Raw genomic sequence first — 25,140 nt, 5'->3', positions numbered from 1 at the left:
AACGTTTCAGGAGGCCCAGGCACATTCCTGAGAGCCCAAAGCCCCTGACTGGCAGGGTCAGAGTGGGCCTGCCTGTGAGGCCCCAATGGGAGGGTGGCGGTGGGAGCTTACCTAGAGGTCCCTTCCTCCCTTCTTGCTAAGGAGAAGGCAGGTCTCAGGGTGAGCTCAACCCCGGACACCCCTGATGTCCATCTTCCCGGGCACCCTGTCCCCACCACTTCCTGACCTCCCACAGTCCTGAGCAGCCAAGCTGGATCACCTCAATCTTCATGTTGGTTTTAAAAAAGAAGAAGAAAGCAGAGGGGGTGTTGAAGGGGAAGAAAGGGAAGTTATTTAATACTAAACAGGTGTCTGGAGTCCTAAATTCTGCCGCTTTCTTCTAATAATGAAGTATTCATGAGGAAAAGCCTTTTTTCACTACTTTCTTAAGATACTAATTTCACAACAAGCTCCTTGTTACGGCGCAATTATTCCAATCTTGTATTTCCCGGAGACGGTTGCAGCCTCCCGTCTGTCCTGGCCTCTCGGTAAATGAAAGACAATCGCGTAACCACCTTTCATTATGCCCTATTTTACTTTCAGCAAAGGTACCCTGAAAGAAATGATTTCCTCTGAAAGGGACTTTTATTCAGTTTCAAAACCAATTTTCTCCTATTACTGTCTCAAGAAAAAAAAAAAAAGAGCGAGAGAGAGAGAGAGTGGAGGATGGAGGGGAGGGGAGGTGATTCTCACCGCCCCCTCCCCAATCGCCAGCCTTAACACAGAGACGCAATAAAAGCTGCAGTATCCACTTCCCGGCTTTGATTTCTGGTAATTTTAAAATAGGCCATTACAATCAGGCAGAAATTATACAGTTTAAAAAGGGAATGAAGTGGGGCTTATTGCAGGGATGAAAGTCCTTGACTGCAGGAAGGCAGTGCTGCTCCTCTCCTCGGGGACTTGGAATGTGAGCAGGTGGCGGGAGCAGGCCTGACTCGGGCCTGCCATCACCACAGCCTTGGACACCAGCCCTGGAGGACACGCCGTGCATGTGCACAGGGAGGGCTGGGTGTGCACACACACCCTGGTACACACTCACCTATGTACATATGTGTTTGCTGCATGGCATGTTCCTCTGCACTTACAGGCACCCTCTTACGCACAGTCGGATGGTCTATGGAGACTCACAATCATGTGCAATCTGGAAGGTAAGAGGCCTGTGGCAACCTCCCTCACCCTGCCCCAGCCTCTTTCTGTGGCCCCTGCTCCAGGGCAGAGTCCATCTCTAGCCGCTCTGACATAGGGGTTGGGGGAAAGGAGGGAGATCCGGAGAAAGCCAGTCCAAGACCTCTCCCTCCACAAATGGGAAACCCAAGCCACAGGGAGCAGTGGCCTGCCAGGCAGGGAGTGGCTGGGTGCACTTACCCCCTCACCACTGAGCTTGGCTGCACCCAGGCCAGTAAGGAGGGAGGTCAGAGGCTGGTGCCCTGTGGAAACCTGGGCTGGAAGGCTGGAACCTCCTTGCCTCCCAGCACACCCTGTGTGACCCCGGCTGGGTTAATGACCCTCTCTGGCCTGTAACAGTGGCTCCATGATCCCTGTGGGTACCTCCAGGTCACTTTCTTCCAGAGTCCTGGCCATGCCCGGCCCTATCTCCAGCCTTTTACTGGGGTCCAGAAGTCCAGCCCTTCTCTAGGTGCCCTAATGTCCCTTGGGCCATACATCCCACATGCTTTGCAGTTGAAAAAGGGTGGGCTGGGGGCTGCAATTGTTGGGGAAGGGGCAGGTCGCCTATTCTGGAGCCTCCTGGGACCCCATCAGCTCCCTTCCCAGCAGGGCTCTAGTTGTCAGCGTGCTCTTATGGTGGATGCCAGGCAGTTCTGGGAGCTGGGAGGGGTTTTCAGGGTGTGATGGTGTCCAAGTGTAGGCCTCAGCTTTGGCTCAGCTTTGCCAGGGCAGCTGCCTACATCCTCCCATTCCTTGCTTCTGGAGGGCTACAGGCAGCCTGAGAGATGCTCTTCACTTAAAGAGGAGGGACTTTTTTCTCTCTGCAACCCCAGTTCTCCCAACTCACTGCCCATTCTCCCAGGAACCCTGTGTCCTGCCACTGGGGGCACATGGCAGGGTGGTGGGGTGTCCTAGGAGGGAAGTGGGGAGGGGACCACCACCTCCAACTCCTGCATCATCCCCATCATCTGCAACCAAGACGGTCAAATCCCCCTCCTTGGCCTTAAAACCTCTCTGGCCCCGGCGTGGAGCCCAGCCCTCTTTGCCCACCACACCTCATCTCCCTCTTGGCTCCCCCTGGCCCTCCTTCCAGCCAGGCTGCCTCACACCTCCAGACCTCTGCCCCTGCTGGTTCTCCTGCCTACGGCACCGTGACCCTGATCCGTTCGAACTCAGATCTGTCTTCAGACCCTGGCTCACCCTTCCCTTCCTCTAGATATCCACCATCTCTGCTCTAATCACACCAAGGTGTAATTGCCAATTTTCACATCTCTCTCCCTCCGCTGGACTGTGTTTCTTAGGGGTAGGGACCGTGTCTTATTTGTCTGTCTCTCCCCAGTGCCTGGCAAGAGTAATCATTTACTAGATAGGTGTTGAATGAATGGCCGAATCAATGAATTGGTTATTGTCAGATAAAGTGATCTAGGCCCAGAGAAGCCAAGCGTCCCAAACAAGGTCACACAGCAAGGCAGGGACAGGACTGGGGCATGTGCCTAAAACACTCATGTTCTTTCTGTGACCCCATCTTGCCCCCTCCCTGCCTGGCATCATCCCATCTGCAGGAGGCCAGCCTCTCAGAGTCCCCGCCTGGACTCATTACCCCCCTGGCCAAGCACCATCCAGGGAGCACTGTTCATTTTGAAACCCTATCTGCAAATCAGACTGTTTATAAGCTCAAGGTCTTTTGTGACTTTAATAAAAAAAGGGGGGGCAGGGAGGGGAAAAACGTCGCATGCCTCAATGATTAGAATGCTTGGCACCTTCCCTGACATGGGGGCTGATAAGACGCCTTATCTCGGAGACACCCGAGGAAAAGGTCCCCTCCACCAGATAACGCCCCCAGCTGTCGATGTGTCCTTTCATAGCTGAGGATTTAGATAAAGGAAATGTGACAGGGGAGGGGAAAGGAAGGAAGGAACTTTTCAGGTCCGAGGAGGAATTGAGTCTGTGATGCTCGCCTTAGCAGAACAATGAATGGGAGGAGGCTGTCTCTGTTTTTATGAAAAGAACAGGGATTTGGGGGCTTGGGCCCTGCTTGCCTTTTGTCATCTCGCCCTCGCCTGTCTGGCTGCAGGGGGCGTCAGGGAGCCCACGGGCCAGTGGGAGGGGAAGCTCTGAAAGAGCAACATGCAATTTGGGCTCTTAACGGTGGTGAGCATGTATTGACTGCCCTCTGTACCAAGCCCATGCGCCTCCTCCTCGTGGCCTCTGTGGCTCCATTTCACAGCTTAGGAAATGGCCACAAAGAGGGAAGGCCATCTGTGCAAGGTCACATAGCTTTTAGATAGCAGAGCCCAAGGATGCCAATGCCAGTCAGTCCCTCAGCCCCACACTGTACAGCAGCTCCATCGTGGTTGGGGGCCCGTCAGCCCTCAGCTCCCAGTCAACTGGGCAGGGAGGGATGGAAGCAAGGGTCTGCTTCTCCCCAGGGCCCAAATCCATTTTGATTCTACTGTGGGAGGGGCTGGGATCACAGAAGGAAGGGGTGAGAGGAGGGGAAGGGCTCCCAGAGGCCACTTATTCATCCCATAAACATTCAAGGAGCGCAAATCAGGAGGCCAGCATTGGGCAGAACAACACTGAGATGAGTAAAGCCCAGGCCTTGCTTCTTACCCACCCATTCATTCATTTAGGCAGCAAACACTTCCCAAGCATCTTTTGAGGGCCAGCCCTGTGCCATGTACTGGGAGGACGGAAATGACTCAAAGTGTCCTGCCAGAAAGGAACATCTAGCCAGAACTGACCTCCCAATAAAAATGAATGTTCCTGACCTCTCTCTGCCTCCAGCATTTTCCTGATGTGGCAGGCATCTGGAACTTTCCCTCGTGTCCACAGGTCAGCAGTCTGCCCCTTGCCAGGCTGGGTTGACCCCAAGGCAGAATAGGAGGAGGACACACCTGGCTTCACGGCAGGGCCCTGAGATTGTGACCCCGGGAAAGCCATGGGCTGCGCCTCTGAGCCCCCATCTCCTCCTCTACCTCCAATCCCTAGAGCTACCCACCTGGCTTCTGTGGCTCCATTCAAGGCCAAAGCCTAGCTGTGACCTGGAGGGGAAGGTCATGCCAGGCCCTTCCTGGTGTCCAACAGGACTAGTTCAGAGAAGAGAGCTGGCCCCAGAGGCCTCTGGGTTGTACCTGCCAGGCAGGGGCCAGGCACTGGGGTTCTCACTGGCTGGGTGACCTGGAGGAAGTCACAGCACCTCTCTGAGTCTGTTTCCCAAATGAACCTTTATGGGGAGTGGACCAGCTGATAGTATGAGGGCCATCTAACTTGGACATAAGAGGATGTGATCATTTGGTTTCCAAACTTAATCCAGCTGTGTACAAGGTGTGGGGCAGTCCCTGAACTGTGGGCACACAAAGGGGCTCTAGACGTAGCCATTGTCTTTGAGGGACTTAGAATCTCGAGCAGGGACAAGATAGGAAGCTGGCAAAACCCAGCAGTTCATCATGCAAGGAGTAGAGTAGATGGTTCAGACTCTGAATTCCCTTTCAGGAAGTGAATGAGATGCTGGCCACTCCTCAGGGCCTCGCAGCCTTCCTGGGGGTGGTGGCAGGATAGGTGGGTGGTGAGGGAGCCCTCCCACAGTTCTCACCTCCATCCCTCTGGCTGTAATTCAAGTCTCTTCACGCTGCCTGGCCACACAGCCTGCTCCAAAGGCAGATAGGAGCCTGAAATGGTGGTGAGAGGCCCAGGGCCCGGGGAAGAGAATGAATGCTGGATTGGGAATACTAGGGTCAGACCCTGGTGGTGTGGCCCTAAATGGGTCACTTCTCTGTGTTGGTCCCCAGCACCACGAGCTGAGCAAGTAGAAAGCCTCAGAAAGTCCAGACCTCTCTAAATAATGAGGGGCAGCAAACCTGCTTCTGGCCAGGAAGAGTGGAGGGACCCTTGCCCAGCCCAGGAATGTCCTCAGGAATCTAGGTGCAAGCTTCCCCCAACCCCCTTAGGGGCTCCCACGACAGGAAGATCCACTGTCTGTCTCTTTCCTCTCCTCTGTCTACATCCCTGTCCTTAGCTCCACCTGCCTCCTGTCCTGATGCCTCCCTTCTCCTTCCTGCTGTCTCTCTCTCTTTCTCCCTTCCTGACCCCTCTTCCCTTGCTCCTTCCTCTCTCTCCCACCCCGCTTGTCTCAGCAAGGCAGCCAGAGTAGAAGCCCATCCCCACCTCCCTCCTGCCGCTCCCTCCCCCATCTCTGTTCTGAGCCGGAGGCCTTCCAAGGGACCCTGTTAATAATTAAATGTTAATCTAAAAAGCAATTTGAGCTGCGGCTAGGCAGATCTGGTTAGAGATTACATTAGCATGGAGGAGGCGAGGGTAATTTTCTTTAACCCCTCTCCTGATCTCTCAAGCCGGGGATTCTTCAAGTCACACCGGCACTGCTGATTAAACTGGCACAGGGCTTGGCTGTGGATAAGGGGCCTGTGAAAAGTGATTATTTCCCACTGCCATTTGGGCCTCAGCACCAGAAGGGGATTTTTACCTTTTTTTTTTTTTTTTAAGGTTGGGGGCTGGGGAGGTACTGTCCCCTTGAATAGGAGGCCTCATCTTCTGCCAGAATTACCACTGTATCTGTCCCCACCCCAGCAGGCCAGGGGCTCTCTAAAATGCTGCAAATCTTGTCACAGAGCATACCTGGCTCTTTGGTTTCTAGGACAAAGATGCCAGTCCCCTGCCTGGCTCCAACACCCCTCCATTGTGCCTGGTTCTGGGCTGGGCACTAGAGCCAGAGATGCTGGCAGTTCTGAGCCAAAGGGGAGACCAAAAAGTAAAGTGACAATCACCAATTCTGGCTGGCAGCCAGAGTCCTGAGGTGGGCTTCCCTCTGCACAAGACTCTCACCTGCACACTTGCAGGCTTTGGCCCATGCAATCCCAAGAGCCAGGAAGGACTTTTGAGCAGAAGGACTGCTCAAAAGCCCTTTCTGGCTCTCTACCCCTTAAAACTCAACTCGACCTTCAATTGGAGTCCGGGTTCCTGAGGGCTTCTCCAAGACATACAAGGTACATAATAAATGTTTGATGAATCGTCAAATGACTGGAGTCCCATGTGGCTCTCCTTGATCCTTCCTCTATGGGTTCACGGTGCTACAGCAGTGCCTGAGCACAGGGCCCTCAGGAAAACGTCTCCTGAACAAAGGATGGGCAAGAGGCTGTCCTAGGGAGTTGGGGCAGGGTGGGCCTCAGGAAGTGTCCTACTGGGACACACAGCTGGGGTCTGGGGGTAGGTGGCCATTCCTGGGCCTGTCAGCACCACGGCCAGCTCCCGGCGCAAGAGCCCTGGAGAAAGGGGCGGGGTACAGCCTGAGAGCATAGTGATGTCAGTCGCCATGGGAACTGACAACTGCGATGTGCCTCCGTCAGCACTCCAACCACTGGGGACGGCATGACAGATTAAACACCAACTATGTGCCAGGCCAGGCCCTGTGCTAGATGCTGGGGCAGTGACAGACCCTGAGTGGATGGGAGGCATCAGAGGGGTAATTACAAGGCAGGGAGACAAGCGGTGGCCATGTTGGGGTCACCCTACCTGGCCTGGGGGGGTCATGATGTAAGGACACACCAGCTGCCTCATTAGCAGAGCGACAGTGTCTGTCCCCGACTTCACATCCGGATGTCTGAGCTTTACACCCTAACTCTGTGAGCTTAGGCAAATCCCTCCCTCCTCTCTGAGCCTTAGTTTCTGCGTCTGCAAAAGGGGTTAATTCCTTACAACAAAGTGCCAGGGTCCTTGTGGTAGCTGCCTAAGTGGTACCCGTTGTTAGCATTGTTTATGGTCGCTATCAACAGGTAAGTAGGAAAAAGCTAGGGGAAGGGAAGGATCCCACAGAAGGGACTGCACAGGCCACCACATGGAGACTTGAGAGAGAGGAGCAAACAGAGAACATGAAGGAGCTCCAGGCTGCTGGAGAGCAAACCCTCCTGGTGAGTCACTGAGAGCACCTCACCTATGCAGGGCCAGGCAGGGACCCCCCCAACCTCAGAGCGGGGAGATCTGTTTCCTCTGCACTAGTGCTAGTTCAGGACAGGGACTCAGAGAAGGTGCCAGAAGGAGGGGCAGTCACTGCCACTGGCAACAGGCCTGGCTGGCCCTCTCCCAGAGCCATGGACCTCTGAAGGGCAGTTTCACTCTTCCCAGAGAGCCAGGGATCCCAAGGTGCAAAGTTTGGAGCCAGGGGCAGGCTGAGCCTCTGTTCTCCTAGTTCCAGCCTCGGCTCTTTAATGAAAATTGTCAGTCAAGTAAGACTCCGTCATCACCTTCCAGCAAAGAATGAGTGGGGAGATCTGAGAATCGATACTGAACAGCTTCAGTACTACGATGTCATAATGGGGCTGTGAGCTCAGCCGAAAGCCCCCCGCCCAGTTTTTTTTGGAAGTGGTCATAGAATCTCTCTGGAGAAACAACATGGAAATGGAGACCAAAAGAGGGAAGGAGGGATGCCACCAGATGACACTGGGATCCCGGAAGACGGAACACTGTGTGCAACGGGCAAAGGTAAGACCCACAGTGGAGATGGGAGGGGCCCGGTATCTCTAGCCTTCCTCCCACCTATTCCCCCAGTCCCTGCACCCACAGTTCAGGGTTAAAGCAGGCAACGGGGAAGGAGAAAAATCTAATAGTAAGAGCAATAAGAGCTAGCTTTTATTTTTAGTGTTCTCCACAGGCTCAGTACTTTACAGACGTCACCTCACGTAACCCACGCCACAACCGGGAGAAAGACATGATTGGCGTTGTACCCACGAGGAAACAGAGAGGGAAGGGAGCTGTCCAGGACCACGGGGTTGGTTGGTGGAGCAGGCAGGAAAGCCCCACGGAAGAGGTTGGCCTGGGCCAGACAGGGTTTGAGGATTCAGGCCCCAAGGGACGGGGAGGAAGAAGACTGGGTCCTTGTGCAAGAATGACCCAAGAGTGTTTAGAAGACGCAGTGGCCCAGGTCGGGGGAGGAGAGTGGACAAAAGTGGCTGGCAAGGGCTGGCCTTAGCTTTTAGCCCAATGCTAAGATCAGTAGATGCTTCTGGGGGTCAGGCTGGGGCAGAAATGAATGGAGCCTTCGAGGCAGGGGTTAGGAAACAGGACAGGACACTCGGCCCAAATGACAGCGCCACCACTCCACATCCCAGAGTTCATAAGCTCTCTCAATGTTTGTTTTATTTAAATCTCCAAGAGTCAAACGCCACTCACCACCCATGTGTGGGTCAGTCTCCAGCTTTCCACCTCTGCTGTGAGTGAGGGTAGAGGGGCGTCGTGTCTCTAACCCCTCCTATGGTCAGGGAGCTCCCTCCATGTCATCCGGCCACAGGCACTGTGATTTAGAAAGTGCTGGAGCCAGACCACCTGGGTTCAACCCCCTCCCCCTGTCATAGCCTAGCGGCTGACGGTTAACTGGGGAATTTTCCTTTTCTTCTTTGTGCTTCTCTGTATTTCTAATTTTTCCACAATGAACATGCATGACTTCTGGTTTTTCTTTCTTTCTTTTTTTTTTTTTTTAAAGAACTTTTCAAAAGGGATTTCAACCTCTGACCACCTGGAGACAGGCGACTGGCGCTCATTGTAAATGCACCGACATGACAGGGAACAGCTGCTGGGGAGGTGGAGACGGGTGCCGGGAGAGACAGGAAACCCCAGAGGCTTGGAAATCCAGGAGCCACAGGAAGCAGTGAGCTTTCTGCGGAGCCGGATCCGGTGGAGCCAATTCACCAGCAGGTCCCGGCAGCAACTCTTCTACAACAGATTCCTGCCCGTCCCTGTGCCCCATCGCCCCCCTGCCGTCAATCTCCACCTCAAGGGAGCCAGACCAAGCCTTTCTGTGTGTAGCGCACATCTCTCCTGCGTAGAGCTCACCTAGTGGCTTCCATAGCTTTTTTTTTTTTTTTTTTGGAGACAGGGTCTTGCCCTGTCACCCAGGCTGGGGTACGGTGGCATGATCATGGCTCACTGCAGCTCCCTCCTGGGCTCAAGTGATCCTCCTGCCTCAACCTCTCAAGTAGCTGGGACTACAGTTGTGCACCACCCCACCCAGCTAATTATTATTTTTTGTAGATGTGGGATCTTGCTATGTTGCCCAGGCTGGTCTTGAACTCCTGGCCTCAAGCAACCTTCTCACTTCAGCCTCCCTAAGTGCTGGAATTATAGGTATGAGCCATCCCGCCAGTCTTCCGTGGCTTTTCTAACAATATCCTTGAAGGACCTCTGTGAATCCCTTTCCCAATGTCTATCTGCACTGTCCCTGTCCCAGGCTGATCCTGCTCAGACACGCTGGCTTGCTTTCTGGTCCTCTCACAAGCCAACCCTGTCCCCACCCCAGGGCCTTTGCACTTATGGTTTTGCCTCTACCTAAATACCCTATACCAGTGCTGTCTGATAGAAATATGTAATAATGGGGGCCGGGCGTGGTGGCTCACACCTGTAATCCCAGCACTTTTGGGAGGCCGAGATGGGCAGATCACGAGGACAGGAGATCGAGACCATCCTGGCTAACACGGTGAAACCCCCTCTCTACTAAAAATACAAAAAATTAGCCAGGCGTGGTGGCGTGTGCCTGTAGTCCCAGCTACTCAGGAGGCTGAGGCAGGAGAATGGCGTGAACCCGGGAGGCGGAGCTTACAGTGAGCTGAGATCACACGCCACTGCACTCCAGCCTGGGTGACAGAACGAGACTCCGTCTCAAAAAAAAAAAAAATGTAATAATGGGAGCCTCATATGTAATTGTACATTTTCTAGCAGTAAGAGGAAATTAAATTTAATAATATATTTTACTTCACCCAATAGATCCAAAATAGTATCACTTCAATGTGTAATCAGTATTTAAAAATTCCTGAGGTATTTTATGTTCTTGTTTTTATTCTAAGTCTTTGAAACCTGGGATGGATTTTACATCTCAGTTCAGTTCAGACTTGCCTCACTGCAAATGTTCAATGCCACCTGTGGACAGTGCAACACCACACTGTCCCCAGTACACACCACTCTCCCACTCTCCATGCCAGCTCCATTTCCCCATTCACACCTCAGCTCAAACATCACCTCCTCCGAGAGACCCTCCTTGACCACCTGGTCAAGCTGGCAACCTTCTGCCCTGGCCATTGTCCCATCACCACAGCAGTTCTTTCATTGTCATTACTGCTCTGAAATTATCTTGATGAATGGTTTAGTGTCTGTCTCTTCCACTGGAGTGCCGGTTCTACTGTGTCTGCACGATGGGGCACACAGTAGGCACTCAGGGTGGCAGATGGTCAGGGACGGAGGTAGGGATGATGGGCCTGGCCTGAGGCCCTTGTTCATCTACCTCATCCCAAATTCTACTCTAAGTGATGAGATGTAGCAGTGGAATGTATGTGTGTGTGTGTACACGTGTGTGGGGAACATGTCCTGCGTACACTCTCACACACACCTCCCCCCACCCACCTCCCCTCCTTCTGAAAAGTGGGCCCAGAGGATGGGCGTCCTTTCAAAATCAGCCCAGCGCAGAAAAACGGCTGTGACAGCACAAAGCCGAGATTGAATCAGCGACGGGCCCGATTGCCTGGTGACGGTTACAAATGATCTGATGTGGAAAAGACGGGATCAGATGTGTGCAGAACAACGGCTGCTCCGCGCCCCCACATGCCAGACAATGGGCTGCTGGGCAGGCGGCCGGGCAGGTGGCGTCCAGGAGCCCAGGACAGGCTTAGCACAGAGTGGCCCTTCCTGGGGCCAGACACTCCCCAAATGCACAGCACCTGGGCAGAATGTTCCCACATGAGACCAAGTGCTAGTTCTGGGCAGTTAGATGTCAGCTGAATTTTATTTTCTTTGTCAGACTCATTTCCAAATACTAAAAGATGAACATGACTTTTGTAATGAGGGGGAAAGAACCTCCTCCCACCCGGCACTCAGTCTCTGCACTCAGAGCCTCAGAAGCATGGGTGTGAGGGGGTTGTACACAGCTTCACAATGACCACTGAAAGCGGCCCTTGCCCTATCCCCAGGGTTTAGTTGGGGGGCTCTAGACCTGCACTCTCAACCACCGAGTAACAAACGTCCTCTTACTGTGATGTGACTACAGCCCTGCGTGAGAAGGTTGTGTCCACAGATGGTGTGGCTTGCCCAGGGTGCACAGCAGTGAGAAGGCTGGGCCTCAGGCCTCACAAACCCTTCGCTGGTCTCTTTCTACTCCAAGGCCAGACATACAGTAGATGCTCAATAAATCCCACCTGAACAGAGAGCTGGGCTGGGACCTTTATTTCCCACACTCCCTGCATGGTCCAGGGTTCACAGTTCGGGGTCTCTCCCCGCTCTTTTCACTGTAGTTTGCCACCTCAACCCGACAAACCCCTCCACACACCCAGAACACACGGGCCCCAGAGACCCTCAACATGGGTGGGCAGAGGGGCAGGGCTAGAGCCTCCTCCGGACCCAGCTTACCAACTAGGCAACACAAGCCCCACCCCCAGCCTGTGTCATTGAGGCTCCAGGGCTGGGAAGCTTCTGGATAAGGGAGAGGGCCTCTCCTGCAGGAGGTCTGGGCAGGGGGTGGCTTCATCGAGCAGCAACTGTGTGCCGGGTGCCATGCCTCAGCTCACGTGGAGCTGGAAGCCCTTCTCTTGAGTGTGAATACATCCACGCCTCCCATTCTCCAGCAGGGGCAGAGGCTCCGAGAGGAAGAGGATTTGCTCCTGGTGGGATCTGGATGCGAACTAGGTCTGCTGGACTCTAAAGCCCATGGCATGGCTGTGCTGTGGGAGGGCCGGATTCTGAGTGGGCACCCAATGTCCCACAGGACCAGCCGCTCCTGGGGTAGGCGCTGGGTCACCTCCCCAGCATGCCAAAGGGGTGATCCTGCAGCCAGTTGAGTTACCCCTCCCGCCACCACCATAGCATCCTAGTAGCCCTCATTCTCCAGACCCGCAAGGCACTACCCCTCTGGCTCCTGACGGACAGTGTCTAGGAAGGACGAAACAGCACCTCAGCTAAGGCAAAAACCCAGAACTCAGTTTGAACCCTGGCTCTGCTATTCACTAGCAGGGCTGTCTTGAGTAAGCCACCGAGTCCCTTGGGGACTCAGTTTCTCCATATGAAACATGGAAGTAGAAACCACACCTTCCTCACCAGCCGGTTGTGAGGATGAAGCCGGTGATGAACACATGCAGTGTAGCACTCGTGAACTGCCCGCCCAGCTCTCACCCCAGGAGATGACAGTGATGGGCTCAGGGGTGAAGCAATTTGCCTGCAGTCACACAGCAGCGGGGGAGGAGGGCAGGGATCCTTGAACCCCAGGACCTAAACCTCAATTCCTTCCAGCAGTTTATCCTTTAATGCCAGGGACAAGGCCCCAAGTGTGCCTTGAGAGTGAGAGGGGATGCTCCAACGAGTGCAGTCACCAACCCTGCCTGAGCACCTGTGGTGTGCCAGGCTGCAGGAACCCAGAGAAAAACCAAACACGGCAAAGATGACCAGACACACGCCCACGCAACCCCAATCCCAGGTCAGACAGAGCTTCAGGGGGCCCAGAGAAGAGGGGTCCTTCCGAGGACAGGCTGCTTCCCAGAAAAAGGAGTATCTGAGCTTCTTGTCTGAGTGTCCCAAGGGCAAGGGCAGCACCTGGCACGGAGCGCAAAGGCACCAACAGGGGCTCAGTGAGTCTGATGAGGTGGGCCTTGTGGCACTAAATGAATGGTGTGGGCTGGAGGAACCCCCCCCCCCGCCCCCCAGGCAGGTGCCAGAAGTAGTACCTTGTAGGCAGCCACTCGCCTGCAGAATCTTCCTCACCTCCTTGGTTATTCCATTTTAGCAGGGGGGGAAACTGAGGCACAGAGAAGCAAAGCCACATGCCCAAAGCCATCTGGTAAGAAACTGGTGGAGCAGGGATTTGAACCCACATTCACCTGGCTCCGTAATAATCATCACACCAACAGCCCCTCGGCCTGTAGGGTAAGGAGGAGAGCCAGCCTGTAGGGTAAGGGTGGGCCGTTTGGGTGGCGTGGGCAAGGGAAGAGTGGACGCAGGCCACAGGGGTTAGGAGGGACCTCGAAGGCAGACTGAGGCCTTGGCACACCACCCACAGGCAAGAAGGAGCCACAGAGAAGGCGCGGTGGTCATGGCAGGGACTTTGGAAGTGGCCTGTCTGGGTTCAAGCCCCAGCTGGCTCCCCTACGTGCTAGCTGTGCAGCCTCAGGCAGGTCAGCTAGCTGCCCCATCTGTAGAAAGGGGCTCATAATATATCTGCCTCACAGATTGGTGCAGTGGCATTTTGGCACACAATGAATTGTATGTGTTTATTAAATCGAAAAGAAGAAAAACTGAAAGCTGGTGGAGGGAGTCAGTGCCCAGTCAGGTTTGGGGACAAGCTGGCTGCTGGGCCTGTTCCCGTATTTTGGTCCAGGTGGGTGCCAGGCCCAGGGAGCGGGGGTGGCGGCGCCGTCTCCCAGCCTTGCTGGGGCATGCGCCAGCATGTGCATGCGTGCGCGCGTCTGTGTGTGTTGCTGCAGCGGCTTCTATGCAAACATGTTAATTTGTTTTCATTTTGTGTTTTTTTTCCCTTGCAGGATAATTGGGTGAGTTTGAAGTCTTGGCGAGGCTGCTGATTATAGCTATTTGGGTGGTGCCCTCGTGGGGCTCAGGCCCTGCCTCCTGCCTCTGGCGGTGAAGGCGCTGGCTGGGGGTGTCTTGAGGGGCTCAGGGAGATGCCACTGGGTTCCGGGGGCTCTTGCTGGCCGGGGATGGGGAAGGCAAGCCGTCCTGAGACCCCCCAGCATGCCCCTCACCCAGACAATACAGGGTCATTAAAGGGTGCAAATCAGCCCACACCTTTTTTTCTTTGCCCTGTTTGCTGCATTTAAAAACTTATGATGTGTTTGCCAATGTCCAAAAGAAAAACTAGAATTCTACCTAAAATTCTTATTGTCTGCTTTCTCTTGGGGGAAAAACCCAAACCTGGCAGTGCTGGAACCCCTGGGCTGATGTGTCCTGAGGGTGGCTGCAATGGCTTTGCTCCTCATGTTACCTGCATGGTCCCCGGGTACCTGAGTTTTCCACCCTGGAGAAGGAGTGGGACTTTGGAGTTGGAATGGCCAAGGTGTCCTGGGCAGCCATGTGACCTGTCAGTACCTGGCTGTCTGAGCCTCTTTTTTTTTTTTACCTGTAACCCCACTGCCTTGCCCTGGGAAGACTGAAAGGAGATGGCAGAGTTTTCAGGAGCATAGTAGGGGTTCGGTTAGTCTTAGAGATGGAACGGGAGCTCCCTGCTCTGTGGGCGTCCCGCACTTGATTCCATCCTTGGATGTGTAGCCCTGTCACTGACCTGTTTGTGTCTGTCTCTCCTGCTAGGTGGGAACCAGGTCTCTGAGGGCTGGACTGGATCTTTGGTTCCAACTTCACTGAACGCCTACCATGTGCCACACTGTGCACGAAGAGATGGGAGATTGGTGAAAAGGGCTTGGGTGGGGCTCTGGAGGTGAGCAGGTACCAGACTCTTAGCCCTGCAGATGGTGAGGGTACACCTGGCAGATGCCCCAGTCTGAGCAAAGGCACAGAGGAAGGTACGGCCTGGCAGGTGCAAGCCCATCCCAGGTGGCTGGAATATGCTGCAGGAGGCCAAGTGGCCTTTGAGGGCATCCTGCATGGCTCTGCTCTCCCACGGGGCTGGGTTCATAGAAAAGGGACTCCGTGTCTATAGTGGCCTTCTACAGACGAGGCAAAGTGGGGATTAGGAAGAGACTAAGGGCTGGGCCTCACCAGAAGCCACAATCCCCGTGTTATCTCTTTGGGACCCTGGGACCCTGGGACCCCTGACGAGTCACCTTAGCTCTCTGATCCTCACACTGCTTACATGTAAAGTGGGCTGTGGCAGGGACCCAGTGGGACAGTCCCTGGTGCATGATTATGCTCCTGGGAGAGACTTCAACACCCACGACCCACCCACTGCTGTAGCTCATATTCTTCCCCTCCCAGGAGGCAGCAGGAATGCTGGGAAACCCCAGCCTATGCTTGTGTGGCCCGAGTGTGCTTAGGTACCAAGCTCAGCACTTTACTCAGGTCCTGGCACTACATCTTCCCCCAGTGCCCCTGGGGCGGGTTCTCTTTCATTTCCATTTCTCAGTTAAGGAGATCGAGGCTCAGAGCGGGTTGAACAGGTATGGTGGCCCTCAACAGGGCCCTGGGCTTGTTTATGAATGCCCTGCAGCCACTAGCCCAGAGTCCCGCCACGATTGAGGGACAGAATGTCCCTCAGGGAACAGAGACACCTGAAGACTTCCTGCTGGTTTTCACCCAGGACTTTGGTGGTGGGGTACACCTGGAGGCCCAGTCCCCAGCACCTATCTCTGCTCTTCCCCTAGCCTACCCTGGGGAGTGAGCACCTTAAGCTGCAAACCTGGACCCCAGGGCATGACACAAAGGGCAACTCTACAGACAGAGAAAGCTTTAGAGTCGGCCACATCCCCACCCCATGACCACGTGCCAGCGTGGCAAGTTGCCTGTCCTCCGTGAACCTCAGTGTCTGCATCTGAAACATGAGACTACCGCCCCTTGCCTGAAGGGTGGCTGGAGTGTTGGGCTCAGGGCTGGCACACAGCAGGCCCACAGCAAACCAGGTTAATGGCTGCCTTGGCTCCTCTAGCAGCCAAGGACCCCCAGGAAACAAGAGCAAGACACAAAATAGTCAGAGAAGGAGGCAGAGCTGATGATGACAGGCTCCCTGGCCAGTCCCCTGGAGGTGTCGGCCAAACCTCTGTGGAGGGCTCAGGCCTCCACAGTCACACGGGATGGCAGCTGGCAGCACCCCCTCCCCCTCCGAGAGGCACACAAAAGGGCCTCTATTCCCGCTCTGAGCATTTGTCCCTGGCCGGCCAGGCTGCACCGCCCTCTCCCCACTCTGCTGGCCGCCCGGCCCGGCTCAAGCTCACACAAAGGCCAGTGTGTCCCAGCCTGGCCTCAGAAGACCCCGACCACAGAGAGCTGGAGAGCTCAAAAGGGCCCTGGGGAGGGGGTGTAAGGTGTGGCAGGGCCGCGTCCAGTCTCTACAGGGAGGGGGCTAGGAGGGCACAAGAGACTTGGGAACGAGGAACCTGGGCAGGAGCCGGCTTCAGCATCCCCACCTCCCAGCCCGGCCACCTTGGGTCAGCTTGGACCTCTGCTTCCTCATCTGTACAATGGGGACCATGACGATAGCACACCCAACTTTTTGGACTGTCAGAGGTCTGGTGAGACAACATGGGGCCTAGTGCACAACCACACCCAGCACCTCAGAGCCAGGTGCAAGGCAAGGGCGGATGGGGGTTGGCGGGAGTCCCCTGGGGCCTGGCCAGGCATGTTCTCAGCATCTCCCTCCTAAGTCCCACCCTGGAAGCCAGGCGGACCCAGGCCCCTAGGGAAGCGGGAACAGCACCTGCTTCTAGACCACTCCATTCTCACCCTCCACCCGGCAAGGTCCACATCCCGTTGGTGCTGACCATCAAGCCAGGCCTGAGCCCCCCTGCTGCTCCTGACCATCTCCAGGCAGTGGGCAGACAGCAGCCACTGTTTACCAAACACCTACTGCGTGCTGGGACCTGTAGACATCACATCTTCTTTCAGCCCCATGGCTGCCCGGGGTGGGTGCGGGAGGATGGTACAATGGTTACAGGCTCTGCAGCCAGTGATCTGGGGCCAAATCCTGGCTCCACCACTTCCTGCTGTGGGACTGTGGCCCTCACACTCTGCTAAGAGGGGCAGCTCACCCTCACAGGGTCTGTGCAGCAACCAAATGGGAAAACAAAACCAAACCATGATGTCCCCAGGCCCCAGCAGGCTTGAAATCCTGACCGCTGGGCTGTTACCCTCAACTCACAGATGAGGAAAACTGAGGCCCCATGCTTGGCATGCAGGAGGTGGACCATAAACCTGATGAGCTATTCTAGGAGAGGGAACAGGGATTTGAAACCAAGTCTGGTGGACTCTGAATCCCTTTTCTACTTGAAGGTTTTGCCAACTTTTTTTTTTTTTTTTTTTTTTAGCAATTTTTTCTTGTTTCCCAGCTTAGCTTGTGGGTCACACAGCCTACAGAGAACGGGGCAGGAGGCCCAGGCCAGCAGCCTGACCCATCTCCCTGGCTGACCCCCAGCAACCCTCGCCCTGCTACACAAAGTCCCCCTTTCTCTCTCCCACCAGCTCAGGGCGGCCAAATGAACAGCAGAATACCAAGTAATTAAGCCGGCGCGCACCATCCGGGCGCCCGGGAACACTGTGGAGTTTCCCTTTTATGTTTATAGCAATTGTATGAAAATGTGCAACATGGAGCAGCACCAGCTGACAAATGAGACGAAACAGACAGGATTCCGGGCCGGCTTTTTTCCGGGCCTGATTGGCATTAATTGTGAGCGTTTACAAAGCACAACTTGGCGCCTGACATTTGCTTCAAGCAAACGTTTCCTTCTAATAGTTTTAATGATTACAATGGGAGCTGGTAATCACTACAGGCCGGGAATGGGCTGCCTGGTGCCTGGCCTGGTCTCACCTGGGTCCCAGGAAATGGGGATGTTTCCTGCGTCCCACTTTCCCCTGCTACCTGCTGCAAGAGGGCTGTGCAAGGTGCCTAGCCTTGGACACTGGAACCCCCGCTCGGGGCCCGGCTGCTGGCACACACAGTTGGTAAGGCGCATAGGGAACCCACAGGGTGCAGACCTAGGGGAGGGAGGGGGAGGGAGAGGGAGAAGAGAGAAGAGCAAGCAGGACTTGGCTGGCCTGGCTCTGAGGCTGGAGTACCTCGGTGACCTCGGGTGAGTACCTTTGCCTCTCTGAGCCTCAGTTTACTCATCTGTGAGAAGGACCATAGCACTCACTGCGCAAGGTCTGGTGAGGATTCAGGGAGGGCCTAGCACAGCACACAGTATATCTGTAAAATGGGGGTAGGAAGTGCCCCACAAATGCTGGCTGCTATTTTCTTGCTGTGTAACCTTGGCCAAGCTCCTTCCCAGCTCTGGGCTGGACTCTCCTCACCTGAGGGGCAGGGACTTGGCCAGCTGGAGTTGCTCAGCCCAGGGTTCCAGTCCCAGCTCTGGCCTCTTTTCAGCTATATGGCCTTGGGAGAGTCCCTCAATCTCTCTGAGCCTCAGTTTCCCCCACCTGTAGAATGGAGTTCATCATTCCCATAGATTGCACGGTGGTTTCCGGATGCCAACAAGAAAGGGACTAAAAATCCTGAATTCCTGGCAAGCCAAGTGCCTGTGTCCCATTTCCTCTCCGGAAAGCCCTCCAAATACCTCCCTCATGCATTCCTTCACTCACTCGTTCATTCATTCATTCAACATTGGGTGTTCCAATTAGAAACTTGGGAAGACATTAGTGTACAAAGCAAAGGACCCTCACCCCCACCTCACAAGGGAAGAGAGATGACAAGCAGAGAAGCACTTTACGTCCAGCACTCCCATTTTACAGAGGAAGAAACTGAGGCACAGAGAGGGAGGACCGACAGTTTGAAGTGACCCAGCTAGGATGGGGTGGCATGAGAATCGAACCCTGGCAGGTTGCTTCAGGTGAGTCCTCTCAGAAGCTCACGCAGGCCCCGGGGGAAGCCTCATCTGAGGGCCCGAGGAGGGTGGGCTGCTGGCGCCCAATGTCCTTTACATCTTGGGTGGCATTCATCGGCAGAGCCAGGCTGGGCACCAGGGCAAGAGGCACCACTGGGAAGAAGGGAGTCTGTGAGGCCTGGTCAGCCCCAGCCTCCTGGAGTTGCATTTCTTGGGTAGGAAGGGGACAGAAGGCGCCTCGTCCTTGGGGCCCCGTGACACGGCTCTTTCACATGTTTCCATGAACACTGTGCAATGCCCACTCCACACCAAGCCCTGTCTCACAGGCCATGCATAGTGTCAGCCAGGTAGCTGGAAAAGGCCAGGACCTGGTACTTGAACCATGGCATGGCACGTGCCAAGGCCCAGAGCTGTGAGAGATCTCAGTGGGTTCAGGAGCTGCCAGCAGTTTGCTGAGGCTGTCACAGCCTCTCTGCAGTCAGATCTCAACTTCTGGGTGGGTCCCCTGGAATTCTCTCATCTCTGCCCTATCTGGCCTTGCCAGGACCACCCTGCAGGAAGCCCCCGGGGATGGGTCCCAGCTCTGTGCTTGCTTCCAGCTAGAAAAACCTTGGCAATTGTTTCTTTTGTAGTTTGTGGGGTGGGGAGAAAAAAAAAGGGGATTTTTTTTTCTCTTTTGCATATGGTGGCACAGATGGGCCCATGATCCGTAAAAACTGTTTGCAATTAAACTCCCACTTTGCATGGCTGGATTTGTCAGTTGTCTGAACCGGGAGTGGGGAGCTCCACACTGACAGGAAGATGGGACGTGGGACAGGGCGGGACAAGATTCAGGAGGAGGGGCGGAGGCCCAGGAACCTGCTCTGGGCTTGGGGCCCAGGCCGATGCGATGCGGCATCACAGCAGCCCTGCCAGCTCCCTCTCCGGGCATCCCCCAGCCTTCGCCAGGAGTGGGAGCACAGCCAGGCAGCTGGGGTGGGGCTTGGCAGGGCTTCCCTGCCCAGTAGGGACTTGGCCAGTGCTGGGTGCCCTGACTGCGGGTCTAATGATGGAGAGAAAGGAGCTAATCACCAGTCTGGCCCTGCCAGGGACTGGGCCCGGGACCCAGGACAGGAGAAGGGTGGCTGGGTGGGGCGAACCATAATGGGGGTTGGGTGGGCAAAGTGCAATGGCAGGTTCAAGACTGAGGTGCCAGAACCTCCGGCCTAGTTGGCAGAAAGAATCTACAGTGGTGCCAAGAAGGGCTGCCAAGGGCCAAAACTGGCTCCTTCCTCATCCCCAGGGAAACTGGCCTGGCCTCCTTATGTCCCTTTGAACGCAGGTAGGGAAATCAAGGCAAATACTAAGAATATCTCAAGGGCCTGCGCTTCTGCTGCCCACATTTGGGAACCTTTTCAGAGGGCTTCCAGAATAGAGGCTAGTGGCCTGCACCCCTCCCATCCACCCCGGGCTCAAAATGCCAGCTTGCCACCCCTGCTGCTACCCTGGGATGCTTGCATGTTTGGGTTAACAAATGCATCATTTGGCTTTGGGAAATCCTGAGATCGCTAATAATTGTTCCCTGATGAAAAGAAATAAGGCCCTGATACCCCCTCCCCCCCCCACCCGCTCCCTCCAAGCTGGGAAAGAAAAGTCATAAAAATAGCTTGTTATCTCACCTATTGAGGCTCCGACTGGATGTTACTGCTAATTGGGTATAACATCCTTGTCTTGTTCTCTCAGAAGCTAAATCAAGAAAGCGCCACTGCTGTGAACTAATTATATCTCCGGCCTGCAGCCTGCAGCTTGTCTCTCCCTTTATTGAGTTAAAAAATGGTCACGAACCTTCATCTTTCATCCCCCCAAGCGCTGGGCCCACACTGCCCGCCAGGTGTGGCTCGAAAGGTGCAGACAGCCCAGCAGGAAGGTCTAGGAGGGGTCCTGGGGACAGGCAGCAGGGTAGGGGAGTGGTGAAGGGGAAGCCCTGTCCCAGGTACCTGCCTGGCCCCTTCTCCTGCCCGTCACTGCCAGGCCTGGTGTTCAACTTTGCCTGGAGAGGAGGACTCTGGTCTCTCCCCTCCTTGCAGCTGGGCCCCTGGGGAGGTCAGGAGCATTTTAGTCCGGGGAGTCTTCATTCATTTATTCATTCAATCAATACTTCTTGGATGTCTACCTACTGTGCACTAGGCACTGTTCTAGGCCAAAGCTTCTAGTAGACTGAAGGTAGCCCCCCAAGCAACCTCACCCAGGATTCACAGAGCTGTTGAATAAGTACTCTTAGACGGGACCTCACTGTTACTCTGCTGAAAGAGCTGCCAGAGCTCCCTACTATGGGAAAGCAAAGTCCAAACATCCAGGCCAGCCCTGGCTCCTTCCACAGTCCTCTCTCTCCACATTCTAGCCACATCTGGTTACACACTGCTCCCTTAGTAAACACTCTCACCTGCCTGCCTCTGAGCTGCCTCTCATGCTGTTCCCTCCACCCGGACGTTCACCCTTCCTGGCTCTGCCCGTCAGAAGCCCACCAGCCTTTAAAGCCTCCAAAAAAATGACATCTTTTCTGGGAGGGCTCCCCTGTCTGCCTGCCACCTACAGCCCTGTCCCAGGCTGTGAACTTTCAGACTTGGGTCTGAATGCCAGCTCGGCCACCCAACAAGTGCGTGACCCTACTCTGCTTAGCTGAGCCAAGCCTCAGTTCCCTCATCTCTAAAATGGGTTAAGAATTCTCCCTGGAGGTGCAGGGAGGCTTGCTGCAGGTGTTCTGCAGAATGATGAACGAGAGAGTGCCCAGGAAGGACCTAGCTCTCAGGAAGAACTAAATACATGCTGTTATCATCATCCAGACTGTCAGTGCTCGGAATCTGCATGGATGAACACAAGTGGGAGTTAGAAGAGGGTAACAGACCCTCCCACCTAAAAGGCTTTTGTGGCTTAAGAACAACCTGGATACACAGAGATCCCCTAGAATCCCTCGCTGTCCCCCCTGGTCCTCTGAGCCACATGGAGACGGGCCAGAGGCACCCTGAGCTCATTGAGGCCAGGCAGGCAACTGGTTTCAGCTCACAGGCCCTGCTGATTGATTGGCGCTGCCTGCCCAGAGCCCTGGAAGGAACCCAAGGTCAGGGGAAGAACTCAGCAGGGAAAGAGGGCAGCAATTGATTGGCAATGTCTGCCAAGGGCACAGCGGCATAAGGCAAGCCAGGCCTGCCACAGATTTGCCATCCTTGACATTTATGAAGGACGCGGCTGAGTCTGGGTTGGGAGGGGTGGGGGAAGGTGACCTGCTGAAGGTCGTGAAGCTCATAAAGGAGACAGCTGGCCCAGAACAGCGTCCCCTCGGCCCCTGCCCGAGGATCCTACCATGCCCAGTACCCTTACAGGCAGTGAAGAGGCAAAAGCTTGTGTGGATAATGAAGGGGGTTCTGTGGGCCTGCCATGTGGCCCAGGGCTGCTGCTTCACATCATCAGGCTAAGTTTCTTCATTCACATGACAGGGATAAAAACACCCTTCAGAGAGGGATATGAGGATTAAATGAGAGAACAAAATGCCAAAGTAGGAAACTCAGTCTGGCACACAGCAGATACCAGTGTCCTGTGATTCTCATAATAGGCAAAAGTATTCAATTACAAGTGCCACCTCCTCCAGGGAGCCCTCCCTGGCTACTCCAGCCAGAAGTAATTGTTTCCACCTCTGATTTCCTTTGAGAGACTGGTGGTGGCCCAGGGCAGGGCCCACGTCTGGCTTGTTCACTGCTGTGCCCCCCTGCCCCTGGCACAGTGCCCACATACTGTGAATTCCTCCATTGTGGCAATTAACCCACATGCACTTGTTGGGTGGCTGAGGGGGTGCACTCGAGGCCTCTCCCTCGGTAGGTACACACCACCTTTCAAGGCAACTGGGGCTTGTTCATCTTCATGTCCCCAGCATCTGGCAGGGAGCCTGGCCTGGAGCAGGGAAGCTCTCTGAATGAACGGATGGATAAAGAGCAAAAATAGCAGTTCCTGTTTACTGCCCATTGGCTATCGGTTACTGCCAAACCTCACAGCTGCCCTCTAAGGTGGTCCCTTGGCCCATCACAGATGAAGAGACGGAGATCTGCAGATGCCGAGGGGCAGGGCCAAGCCCTGCATTCAGGCCTGGGGATTTCATGCCAGGAGGCCCTGCCACCTCTGCCTCCCCCAGTGCCAAGCTCAGGCCTGGACTCTGTGAGGCAGCTGCCCGTGCCCTGGCAGCGAATCCTGGAGCAGACAGCTGGTGGCTGGACCTCCCTCCTCCTCCAAGGGAGGCCCCCCTCCCCACAGACTCTGGGTCATTAAGTTCTGCGTCATTAAGTCCCCATCCCCGGGAGCCTGTTCACAGCTAGTCTCGGCCTCACCCCCTGACCTCCCAGGCCTTTGTCCCCTGTGCCCTCTGCACAATAGCAGGGGCCCCCAGGGCCCCAAACAGCTGCTGCGGCTGGGATGCTGGCTTGCTGTGGGGCCAGGACTGGCCCAGGCCTGTATTCAAGCCCAGCCCACCCAGCTCTGAGGGGCTCAGCTAAGCCCCCTGCAAGCACTATGCACATGCAAGCTCACCCCACCCACAAGCCCATGAGAAAGCTGTTGAGACTCTCCTGAACAAGAGGAAACTGAGGCACAGAGGGGTAAAATAATTTCTCTGAGGACACAGCCAGTGAGAGTGCAGGTGCTCTCTCTCACCGGGTTTCAGCCCAGGTCTGCGACTCCCAAGCTCTCTGTTGGCCTCTAAGGCACTGGGATCTTAGCTGGCCCCTGCCTCTCAGATGCTTTCACTGGCTTCCCTCTTCCTCAGGGCCTCACAGCACCCTTAGCTCAGCACCCGATGCCCCCTGCACACCCTCCTAATCTCCCTTTCACCTCCACCATCTTATAAGCTCCCCCTGCCCTTCCTGGTCATGCTCCCGGGTCTCCAAACTCCCTCTGCCAGAGACACCCCCATTTACTCCATGCTGGGGAGAGCCACTCAGTCCTCAGGGCACAGAGCACAGCCCGCTTTGTCAGGAAGCCCTCCAGGACCAGCTGCAGGTTTTCCCTCCTCCAGCCCTGCTCCAGCCCTGTCTAGAATTCCAGTTAACTGCAGACTCATCTTACTCCCTCTAGAGGCTGTGGGCCATCTGATTTCTTATCACTTGACCACTGGGACACGGGCGACAGGGTGTCCTTGCTCAGTCTTTACCTAAAGCCTGGTTTTACCGAATGGAACCACGAGTGGGTGGGAAGAGGAGTGGGAAGCTGGAACCCCGCCTCTGCCTTCCCATCTCTGGCTGCCAATGAACCTCATACTTCTGCCACTCCCTGGCTGTGTGACCTCGGGCAGCAAAGTATAATACCTTCTCTGGGCCCCTGCTTCTCAGCAAAATGGGGGTGGTACCAGCATGTGCATTTCTTAGGGTTATGACGTAAACTCTGGAAGGTACTAGTCTGGTGACCTGTATCCAGGCATGATTACATGATTCCTGACTGTGACCACTGGAGTGGTCAGGGCATGAATTTGGGGTCAGAGAGACCCAGATGGTGGCTGCACATTGGCTGTGTGGTCTGGGCAGGTCGCCCCTTCCCCAGGGTCTCCGTTTCCCCATCTCTGAAGTGGCACTAACTCTGCCCACAGGGATGCAAGCCCCCCATCACAGAGACCCCATCTTTTGTTTGATGCATGCAGTAGGTACTCAGATATTTCTCAACTAAGCAATCAGGGGTCCAGGTGGAAGGAATCCATCCCTCTTCCCAGCCTCCACCCTTTCCAGAATCTCCCTCCCTACACCCAGCCCGTGCAGACTAAAATAGTCATTAGGCAGATTTCAAAAGATGTCAGTAGCTTATAATTATAGTCGACATCCTTCTGAGATAAAAGTGATTACCTTGGATGCAAATCACTTAGCAACCAATCAGGGCGGCGGGCGGCGCCCGCGGAGGTGACCGGCCGGCACCGCAGCCCTCCTCCCGCGGCCCGCAACGCACAGGCAGAGAAAGCGCCCAATAGCTCTTGACACGCAAATGGGTTAACACAATAAAGCGGCTCCGGCCGCTGCTGGGAGAGAGCAGCAATTCCCGGCCCGCGGGAGGTAATAAAGCGGCCCTTTTGTGCGCGCCTCCTCGTTCTCACCCCCGCCCCGAGCCCAGAGGAATCGCCGCCTGATTGAATTACGGTTCATGAATATGAGCTGCTTCGCTGCCTTCCTCCGGTTTGTGAGGGATGGGAAGGCAGAGGGGGCTGGAGGGAGGTTGGGGAGGGACCCCCGGCCAAGTCCCAGCCCCCGCAGAAGCTCAGAAAAGAGCCACCGGTGCTCACCATGTGGGTGGGTGGGTGGGGGCCTCAGTGGACAGAGAAGCCCCTGGCAGAGATAGCTGGTAGAGTTCGGGCCTCTCCCTGCAAATGGGGTCTTCAACCTTTGGCTCCAAGGGACTGAGTCATTCAAGGCTCCGTTCTGAGGAGGAGGTAACAGTAGCCATGACAACA

The 25,140-nt window shown here is 55.2% G+C and overlaps 1 protein-coding gene and 1 long non-coding RNA gene across 7 annotated transcripts in view, besides 9 other annotated features; one reads left to right on the top strand and one right to left on the bottom strand.

Moving 5' to 3' along the window:
• FAM222A-AS1 (FAM222A antisense RNA 1) overlaps positions 1-9,083 on the top strand; it is a 39,279-nt gene extending 30,196 nt beyond the window's left edge. The window contains exons 2-4 of one of the 2 annotated variants that reach the window (NR_026661.2): positions 1,127-1,187; positions 7,471-7,701; positions 8,699-9,083. This is a non-coding gene — a long non-coding RNA (FAM222A antisense RNA 1). The remainder of the gene's footprint in view (positions 1-1,126; positions 1,188-7,470; positions 7,702-8,698) is intronic. The other variant, NR_026662.2, reaches the window with a different exon arrangement.
• The window catches only part of FAM222A (family with sequence similarity 222 member A), a 56,671-nt gene that overhangs the window by 27,204 nt on the left and 4,327 nt on the right, over positions 1-25,140 (bottom strand). The window contains exons 1-2 of one of the 5 annotated variants that reach the window (XM_047429748.1): positions 4,802-5,282; positions 1,079-4,386 (exon numbers count right to left, since the gene is read on the bottom strand). The exons of 2 other annotated variants lie outside the window; for them this stretch is intronic. The gene's annotated coding sequence lies outside the window, so the exon portion shown is untranslated. Of the gene's footprint in view, positions 1-1,078; positions 4,387-4,801; positions 5,283-25,140 lie in introns of those variants that run through there. 2 more of the 5 variants (XM_047429749.1, XM_017020055.2) reach the window with 2 other exon arrangements.
• Positions 2,931-3,430: an enhancer, noted in NCBI's record as "H3K4me1 hESC enhancer chr12:110177667-110178166 (GRCh37/hg19 assembly coordinates)". NCBI's record gives its function as "activates a minimal SCP1, AML or CMV promoter by ChIP-STARR-seq in primed H9 embryonic stem cells {active_cell/tissue: H9 hESC(primed)}" and the evidence as "EXISTENCE:reporter gene assay evidence [ECO:0000049][PMID:30033119]".
• Positions 3,431-3,932: an enhancer, noted in NCBI's record as "H3K4me1 hESC enhancer chr12:110177165-110177666 (GRCh37/hg19 assembly coordinates)". NCBI's record gives its function as "activates a minimal SCP1, AML or CMV promoter by ChIP-STARR-seq in primed H9 embryonic stem cells {active_cell/tissue: H9 hESC(primed)}" and the evidence as "EXISTENCE:reporter gene assay evidence [ECO:0000049][PMID:30033119]".
• Positions 5,369-5,513: an enhancer, noted in NCBI's record as "145 bp enhancer 206 fragment used in the MPRA reporter construct; PK_construct_151". NCBI's record gives its function as "activates an SV40 promoter by MPRA in HepG2 cells {active_cell/tissue: HepG2}" and the evidence as "EXISTENCE:reporter gene assay evidence [ECO:0000049][PMID:23512712]".
• Positions 5,434-5,447: a transcriptional cis regulatory region, noted in NCBI's record as "HNF1 motif; enhancer activity is reduced when this motif is scrambled". NCBI's record gives its function as "necessary for full MPRA enhancer 206 activity {active_cell/tissue: HepG2}" and the evidence as "EXISTENCE:site-directed mutagenesis evidence [ECO:0005528][PMID:23512712]".
• Positions 6,017-6,516: an enhancer, noted in NCBI's record as "H3K4me1 hESC enhancer chr12:110174581-110175080 (GRCh37/hg19 assembly coordinates)". NCBI's record gives its function as "activates a minimal SCP1, AML or CMV promoter by ChIP-STARR-seq in naive H9 embryonic stem cells {active_cell/tissue: H9 hESC(naive)}" and the evidence as "EXISTENCE:reporter gene assay evidence [ECO:0000049][PMID:30033119]".
• Positions 6,017-6,621: a biological region, named in NCBI's record as "H3K4me1 hESC enhancer GRCh37_chr12:110174581-110175080".
• Positions 6,421-6,621: a silencer, noted in NCBI's record as "peak1944 fragment used in MPRA reporter construct". NCBI's record gives its function as "represses an SCP1 promoter by STARR-seq MPRAs in K562 erythroleukemia cells {active_cell/tissue: K562}" and the evidence as "EXISTENCE:reporter gene assay evidence [ECO:0000049][PMID:32103011]".
• Positions 11,296-11,796: an enhancer, noted in NCBI's record as "H3K4me1 hESC enhancer chr12:110169301-110169801 (GRCh37/hg19 assembly coordinates)". NCBI's record gives its function as "activates a minimal SCP1, AML or CMV promoter by ChIP-STARR-seq in primed H9 embryonic stem cells {active_cell/tissue: H9 hESC(primed)}" and the evidence as "EXISTENCE:reporter gene assay evidence [ECO:0000049][PMID:30033119]".
• Positions 16,225-16,935: an enhancer, noted in NCBI's record as "H3K4me1 hESC enhancer chr12:110164162-110164872 (GRCh37/hg19 assembly coordinates)". NCBI's record gives its function as "activates a minimal SCP1, AML or CMV promoter by ChIP-STARR-seq in naive H9 embryonic stem cells {active_cell/tissue: H9 hESC(naive)}" and the evidence as "EXISTENCE:reporter gene assay evidence [ECO:0000049][PMID:30033119]".

This window comes from Homo sapiens, chromosome 12 (genome assembly GCF_000001405.40).
Source record: "Homo sapiens chromosome 12, GRCh38.p14 Primary Assembly".
In the NCBI taxonomy this organism is placed as follows: Eukaryota; Metazoa; Chordata; class Mammalia; order Primates; family Hominidae; genus Homo; species Homo sapiens.
This window is presented reverse-complemented; position numbering and strand designations above follow the sequence as displayed.